The 8837-nt window shown below is 39.2% G+C and overlaps 1 long non-coding RNA gene across 1 annotated transcript in view; it reads left to right on the top strand.

Moving 5' to 3' along the window:
- Positions 1 to 2894: 2894 nt before the first annotated feature.
- DMP1-AS1 (DMP1 and DSPP antisense RNA 1) overlaps positions 2895 to 8837 on the top strand; it is a 164356-nt gene continuing 158413 nt past the window's right edge. Inside the window, exons 1-2 of the long non-coding RNA NR_198971.1 lie at positions 2895 to 2994; positions 4816 to 4946. This is a non-coding gene — a long non-coding RNA (DMP1 and DSPP antisense RNA 1). The remainder of the gene's footprint in view (positions 2995 to 4815; positions 4947 to 8837) is intronic.

The raw sequence follows: 8837 nt of genomic DNA, 5'->3' as shown, positions 1-8837 counted from the left end.
AGCGCTGCACATTGAGTCCAGGCCCACGGAGCCAAAGGCAGACCTAGATTCCTGTGCTTCAGACCTTGACAGAAGCAGCAGAATAATTGTTGTCTCTCAAGTGTGATGAGAAAGAAACAAAAAGAGTTGCCACACCTGAAGGGGTCATGTGGACAGGAAGAGGGATATCTCCTTACAACCTGAGTGGACTGATGACTCAGGACTAGATAACTGTGCAGACAGATGACTGAAGATCTTGTGCCTCCCCACAGGGTGGTGGCACCACTCAAGCCTTCCATTTAGACACAGGTCTCGAGAAATTCCTAGGTCTCCAACTGACTGTGGTTAAGTTTGGGCCACCTAGTATATTGAGGACTCAAAATAGAAATCGCTGGAAAGGAAGAAAGTATGACACATTAGGCCAGTTGGTCCATCTCTTTCCCAGGGACTAGCTCTGCAATTTGGGGGCTATAGTCAGACCACAAAATACTCACTCCTTTACATCTTTCCCTCAGGGCAATGGATGCCTGAATGCCTGATATTTATATGATTCTTTTCTGCACCATCAGCCCATATGCTCCACTGAGCACTGGACATTTTCACTTGGATGTCTCAAAAGTACCTTATAGTCAAAATATTCAAAATCAGTTCTCTTCAGTGTGTGGTCTCATGAGTGAGACCCTTTGTAACCATACTAGTGACAAAGTCAGCAACCTGCCCTGGTCTTCAATAGCCCCCTTTCTGTCACCACCCATTTTCAATTTATCACTTCTCTCCATTTCTACAAACTATCACTTAAGCCCAAGCTACCATGACCCTTCCCTCTGATGGGGTCTACCTGCATTCACTCTGTGCTTCTTAGTCATTCTCTACACTGCAACCTGAATGATTTTCAAAAGGAAACTCTGAGCATGTTGTTCCTCACAACTCACCCCCAATACCTCACTCAGATTCCATTATGCCAAATAATTAGCAAGGTGACAAAAGCTCTGCATGAGCTGTCTGCCGTGTCTTTGCTCAGCCTCACCTTGAGCCATGCTCCTCTCACTTGCTGCACCCCAGGCACGCTGGCCTCCTTTCCCTTCCATAAACAAGAAAAGCTCCTACTGCCTCAGGGCTCCTACCCACTCATTCCTCCAGGAATACTGTTCTTCCCATCCTCAGTAGGCAATTCCTACTCATATCTGAGATCTCAACTCATTCTCCCTAACCTTGCATATCAGTTAAGTCCTCCATCAGTGGTCTCCAAGCACTAGGTATCTCTCCTTCATAGCTATGATCACACCTGCACTGTTTATTTATTTGTAATTATTTTGTTACTCTTTGCTTTCCCCATTAGACCGTCAACCCAATGAGCAGTGAGACAATTCTGGACTCTCATTTCATCCACAGTGACCCAGGCACCCAATTATTGAATGCTTTTAGAAGTCTTCTCAAATGAATCTCTATGAACAGCAGTAATAACGGTTAGTACTCTTTAAGAACTCTCTCAAGGCCAGCATTATTTGAAGCATTCATTCTATGTGTTAGCTCTCACAACATCATGTGAGGTAGGCAGTGCCATTGTTATCTCTGGTTTTTGGGTGGAAAACAGGCACAAGCTTCCCATAGCAGGCAAGGAGCTCTGAGATCATGCTCATCCCCAAAAAACCTCACTGTTTCAGAATATGTGCTCCACCCAAGAGGGGCAGCTGCCAATGCCCCATTTCATGAGAAGTTATGAATTTCATCTATATCAAATTATATTAATTATAAGACCATAGGAAACTTGCACACATTAAATTCTCATGGAATTTATATGCATTCTCCATCTATTTAATTAACACATATTGAGCACTTACCAAGTGCAGGTTATGTGCTAGAAATTAAAACACAGGAAGGAGAATGAGATGATCCCTCATTGAGATAGATGGTGAGGGAGAGATAGATGAAGACAGAAATAAATCACTCGGTACAGTTTGATGGAGCCAATACGATTTGACTCTGCGTCCCCATCCAAATCTCATCTCGAATTGTAATCCCCACAAGTCAAGTGAGGGACCTGGTGGGAGGTGATTAGATCATGGGAGTGGTTTTCCCCATGCTGTTCTCGTGTTAGTGAGAGAGTTCTCACGAGATCTGATGTTTTAAAAGTGGCAGTTTCCTCTGAACTCTCTCCCTCCTGCCACCATGTAAAAAGATGCTTCTCCTTCACCTTCCGCCATGATTGTAAGTTTCCTGAGGCCTCCCAAGCCATGCGGAACTGTGAGTCAATTTAACCTCTTTTGTTTATATATTACCCAGTCTCAGGTAGTATCTTTATAGCAGTGTGAAAACAGGTTAAAACAGGAGCCATTATGGAGATGTCTACAAAGTGCTGGGGAGAGGGAAGGACGGGGAACCAACAATCAGGTTTTCCTAGTAGGTGAGGGTGGTCAAGAAAATCATCTGTTACCTCTTGGTTTCCCTATGTGAAAAATGACTCATGGAATCCTGTGAAGGATTCCCAATACCCCTTATGCTCCTCCGTAATTTTCGTAGCCCCAGTATTTGTTTGCTAGGGCTGCTATAACAAAATGCCATCAAGAGAGCGGCTTAAGAAACAAAAATTCATTGTCTTGTGGTTCTAGAGGCGGGAAGTCTGAACTCCGAAGGGCAGGGTTGGTTCCTTCTGTGGGCTGTGAGAGGGACCATCCCGCGCCTCTCTCCTAGCTTCTGGTGGTTGCTGGCAAACTTTAGTGTTCCTTGACTTACAGATTCATCACCCAGTCTCTGCCTTTATGTTCACATGGCATTCTTCCTGTGTGAGACTCTGCTTCTCTCTGTCCAAATTTCCGTTTTTTATAAGGACACTAGTCATACTGGATTAGGGCCCACCCAAATGACTTCATCTTAACTTCACAGTAATATCTGCAACAACCTTATTTCCAAATGTCACATTCTGAGGAAGTGGGTGTTAGAATTTCAACATACGAATTTTGGAGTGGAGAACACAATTTAATGCATAACAGCTCTTTTCATCTCTCAGCAAACTAGGTAACATTTATTTTTAATGTTTATTATTAAATTTATTATATTTATCATTATAAAGGATAAATGTTTAAATTTATAATAAGTAAATTAATTTAATTGATAGTTAATTAATATTAATATTTATTTTAATAAGTAGTAATTTAATTATTTTTATTTATTTTTGCTTATTGTTACCGTTTTTGCTTATTTTTTGTTCTTTTGGTTTTTGACCCTGACTATAATATAAGCTCCTTGGGGGAAATAATGTATGATTATTTGTTCACTGATGTATCCTGCACACCTACAACAGCACTTGGCTAATCAGAGGCAATCAGTAGATTTTTTTTTTTGAGACAGAGTTTCACTCTGTCATCCAGACTAGGGTGCAACAGTGTGGTCATGGCTCACTGCAGCCTTAAACTCCTGTGCTCAACAGATCCTCCCTCCTCAGCCTCCCCAGTAGCTAGGAATACAGACATGTACAACCACACCCAACTAATTTTTATTTTTATAGAGATGGGATCTTGCTATGTTGCCTAAGCCAGTTTCAAACTCCGGGCTTCAAATGATCCTCCTACCCTGTCCTCCCAAAGTGCTGTAATTACCGGCATGAGCCATTGTGCCCAGCCAGTAAATATTTTTTAAATGAACGAATGAATCAACAAGAAAGAAACAGGTAGAATGGAAAGGGTTTGTTTGTCTGTCTCCTACCCTCATTGTACTTCTGGGTTGCAAAGAAATGCTGCAACTAGATATAAACTATGCAAACAGATGATAAACAAAAATAAATAAAATAGTTCAGGGTAGGGGGGAATGTCTGTGTTGGGAAAGATGAGAAGACAAAAAGAATGACAATTTATAGCCTTAATTTTCCCTCTTCTCATTCTTAGAGGTTCTCCCATAAGAATTTTTGAGAATTAAGAGAGCTACCCAACCTCTAATCTTGTGGCTTTGAATCCTGCTAGGTGGCCCATTTACTCCCGATCATCTCCTATGAGCAGCTGACCTCTTTGGATTTTACATTTAAAGTATCCAAGACCAGAATTTCACTTTCTGGGCTGAAACAAAAGCATCCTATGATGTATCTGGTATAGAGTTGCAGACAAAGACAACTAGATGGATTTTTTTTTTAAAATGCCACCCACAGAAAAGCATTTTTGAGGAAAATTCTTCAAAGAATCAAAACCATCATTCTCCACCCTCTTCGAGTTTGTCTCTGTGCAGTGGTCGCATTGTATCACATAAACGTTGCTTTGCTCGTGTGATAGATCATCTCTTCTGAAACTCATTCTTCAGCAATATAACATGAATGGGATTGAATGTCTTTGTACAGAATCCTATTTTATGGGTTTGTGTGGTTGGTGGGTGTCCATCAAAAACCATTTTTAAAATAAGCACATCTGCATTTTCCCCCCCTCTGCTAGGAAATGACCAGGACTGTACTCTTCTCTGGGGGCCAGTACTGGGACGAAGCCACACAAGGTTTCTCTCCCTGCCACATAGGTCTGCTTTTGTCGACTGCAGTCCTGATTCTTATATTGGCTCCCTTGTATTTTTTAGAGATAAATAGGCAATCTCTTTCTTAGATCGTTTTTATCTCTCTGACCCTCATTTCCTCCTCTTTTCAATCCATTCATAAACCCAAAACCTGCTTCAGCATACTTCTATTAAAGTATCTATAAAAGCAGGAGGGAGGCTGCCCCCATGTCAGCAACCTGCGGGAGTCTCGAGCTCTCAGGATGCATGGTCCTCAGCCAGGGCACAACCTAATGGGGTTTTGGGAGGTGCTGCCTGTCACCTCTCCTGGGGCCAACAGATGACAAAGTCTCCATCCATCATTGCAAGGTCTCAGGTCTGAAGTCCACTGCGGTCAGCCTTCCCTGGTGGTGAGCTGCTGTCAGAACCTCCCCACTACTCCTCTGGGTGGCCCCAGTCTTGTGCCTATTTCCCTCTCGTGGTCATCAAGTCTCGCCCAGGTAAGTGACCTGCCCACAAGGGACATTCTGCTTGAGAGCCTTTTAAAAAGTCAGGTTTATTATGGCATAACTTAAACAGTAAAGTACAGTTGGATGGGTTTTGACAAATGCATGTGGCCCTGAAACCAGTACCACAATTTAGATACAATATTTTTGTCACCTTAGAAAGTCCCATTGGGCCCCTTGGAACTCAATTCCCTTCTCCACCCTCAGCCATATACAGTAGGTAATGAATATTTGATTAGCAAATATTTAGTCACCTATTAGACAAAGTGAGTTCTAATGTCCAGTAACAAGAACTCAGTCCAAATGCCACAGGAACAAAGAAACCAGCCATTTAACCTACCAAACACAAAATACACCAGGAAAAAACAGGACAAAAAAAAAGCAAGAGGGAAACAAATGTTTTAATAAAATAATTGCATTTTGCAAAACCGTAAACTCCTAAGCCTTCTGAAAAAGTCTGGAAGTTCCCTTCAGAATATCTATAGAAGATCCTGTCTCTTCATTTCACTCTAATCGTAAACATTTTTTTCCCAAGCAGTGATATTTACAATAAAAATTTAAAAACATTTATTGATTTGTTTGATAATTACTAGTATAGTCAGTCTTTAATTTACAAATGGGTTGTGATTTGAAAGTTCACTAGTAAATCAAATGCTTCTTAATATTTTTTCATAACTATGTTGTCAAAAATGAGTACACAAGTATTGTATAAGAGTATTATAATATTTATTAGTTGCCTGAATTCTAGATTCCAGAACCTGGGAACCAAGTAGTGCAGAATCAAGGTACATATACGATAAATTTTTAGGAAGTAACAGGACTTGACATGGATCAGAATATAAAAGTGACCTCTATGGAAGAATAAAATAACTACTCCTATGATTTAGATTTGGATAACTAGGTGGATGGCAATGTTACCAATTGAGAGATAGAATGAGGAGTGGAACTGGGGTGAGAGGATAGCAAGTTACATTTGACGTTTGTCCCTACATGGGACATTTAGGTAGAGAAGTCTAGTTGGAGTTGGATATATAATCTGAAGTTTGGGGAAGATGTCATCTGCATAGAGGCAATTGTTGAAACCACAAGACTAGATGAGATTTCCTAAAAGAGTATATGGTATGAAAAATGCAGTTGACCAAAACGTGGAGGAAACCTAAATATATAATATATGGTTCCATAAAGAGTGAGAAAAAAATCAAAAAGACTTTTTGGAATATCATTGTATTATTCTCCAAAAAATTAAAGCATGCAAAGTAAATCTGAGTTAAGTATCACATAAACCTGAATCTCAAAAAGGTTATGGAACAAAAGTGTCAAGCTTTCATAAATTTCCGCTGGCCACTACAGTCTGCCAATCTACCAGTTGCATTATAATTACCTGAGAAGCTTTTTAAAGATAAAAATTCTAAGCCTGCTGCTGTGTATTTTGATTTAGGAGGTATTTCACAAGACTCAAAACTGACCATTTGTAAAAGATTCTAAATCTGACATTGTGCCAGCTTTGTAAACTTCTTCTTCATAAAACTTTCACTCCTCACTGCCTCAAGTTGCACACAACGTTTTTTTCTTATAGAAGAAAATAAGTCTGGATGTATTTATTGAACGTGGGAATGCATAGCTAATGACAGAAAGTACCTTCCATTTTCCTACTAGCACAAACCTTTGTGACTAAGAGAAACGTATAATTGCCAAGCTAAGAAACACCTGTAAATAAAAGAGATAGTTATTATAAAAATGAGCACCTGTACAGTGTTTATTTTATTGAAAAGATAATGGTTTAGAGGAAGAATCCAAGCTATAATAAAATTAATTATTGTTCTGCAAGCCACCCTAAAGAAGGGTTTCCAATGAAAGGAATTCATTGTCACTATTCAGCTATGCACATGACTGCCCGTATGTCAACTGCTATGGCTGCTTTTTGACCTGCAACATTTGATACTTGGATGGTTTCACACAGTTTTAGCCATTCAGTATTCCACAGAATGCTGGTTTTCCTCAAGATGTTACTAAGTGGTGCACTAAGTAAGTATTTGTCACATAATTTTAAAAATTGCTAATTACTTTATCTTTTGGAGTTTCACAAAGAATATTAGCAATATTAAAGGCCTTGAAAAGTCATGCAATCAAGATCCAGTTGATTTTGTTTATTCTATTGTTTCCTGCTATGGTTTGAATGTGTCATTCAAAAGTTCATGTGTTGGAAGTTTAATTCCCAATGCAGTAGCGTTGGGAGGTGGGGCCTAATAAGAGATGATTGGGTCATGAGGGCAGATCCCTCATCGATTAACATCATTATTGCAAGAGCAGCTTAGTTATTTCCAGAGTGAGTTGTTATAAAGCAAGTACAGCCCCTGGTGCCTCCTTCTCTGTATTGTGTGCTCACTTCTGCTTCTGCCCTTCACTATGGAATAATGCAGCACAAGGTCCTCACCAGACACCAGCACCATGCTCTTGGACTTCCCAGGTTCCATAACTGTAAGAAATAAATCTCTTTTCTCCATAAAATACTCAGCCTGTCTGTTAAAGCAACATAAAACAGACTAAGATATTTCCCAAATTTCTTATGACCACATGCTTTTTACATGAAACACAGTGTTAGAAATGTTGCTCCATATAATACCATGAAAAAATTTTAAATTCCAATGAGATCAAGAAAAAGAATAATTGGTGGTCATTTGTTGAATATGAAATGAACAGAGCCTTAATATAATTTGGAATAATAGCATTTGACTGTAAATCTTGATAGTACACAGTTTCTAGGCTAAGATAGAGTATCTAAGCATATTAGTAGGGTAAATAACAATTTCAAAGGAAATATTTTAGAAATTTAAGGCAGCCTACTAACTTCAAATCTTTTAGAAATATTCATCTCTCTAAACTTATTAGTCTAATTAAGAATATTACTTCCTATTTATTGAAGTAATTCCTAGGAGCTTTTTCTTACTAATGCTATTCAATATCCAACCTACCTTTCTGGTTGCTTTCCCCCAAACCCCGGTCACTACTCCAGACTCCACAGCACTCTCAAACACAAAATGAATTTTCAAAATCTTCACACCCTTGCTCACACTGTCACATTGGCCTAGAATTTCTTCATGATTCCTTTTGCAAAACTCCACTCAATTACTTGTTTTTCTGTGATCTCCTCCACAAACCACTAATGACCTTTATCACATTGTATCAGGTTTGTATAAATTTATCTCCCCTCCAAAGTTGTGAATCCCAAGAGAAAAAGAACTAAGTCACATTTACTTGAGTATCACGTAAGAAAGTAGGGTTTTAATATATTTTTACTGTAATTAAATGTAGAATATTCTATAATTCATTCTTTTTCCTAATTAAAATTAATATTCTCCATTGGTCTGAATAAAAGAAATTTAGCAGAAGGCATAAAACAAATTCTAACCCCAACAAAATTCTTCCCTTAAAGTTTGGGCCCACATGGAGATCTAATTTATAATAGTTTGTTGAAGGCTGGCAAGAAAGTATTGAGGAGGCTCACCATATAAATCCTTTAGACACAGTGGAGTTGATTAGGGATGCAGAAGCTTTGGACCAGCAATAAAGCATTTTGTCCTGATGCAAAACCTAAAATTTGACAATATAAGTGTATTAATCTGTTCTCACACTGCTAATAAAGACATACCAAAAACTGAGTAATTTAGAAAGAAAGGGGGTTGAATTGACTCATAGTTTAGCATGGCTGAGGGGGCCTCACAATCATAGCAGACAGTGAATAGGGGCAAAGTAACCTCTCACATTATGGCAGGCAAGAGCACATGTGCAGGGGAACTGCCCTTTATAAAACCATCAAATCTCATGAGACTTATTCACTGTCATGAGAACAGCACATCCACCATGACTCAATCACCTCCCACCGGG

The sequence above is a fragment of the Homo sapiens genome, chromosome 4, assembly GCF_000001405.40.
Source record: "Homo sapiens chromosome 4, GRCh38.p14 Primary Assembly".
Taxonomy (NCBI): Eukaryota; Metazoa; Chordata; class Mammalia; order Primates; family Hominidae; genus Homo; species Homo sapiens.
Note: the sequence above shows the minus strand (reverse complement) of the source record. Positions and strands in the feature narration are given on the sequence as shown.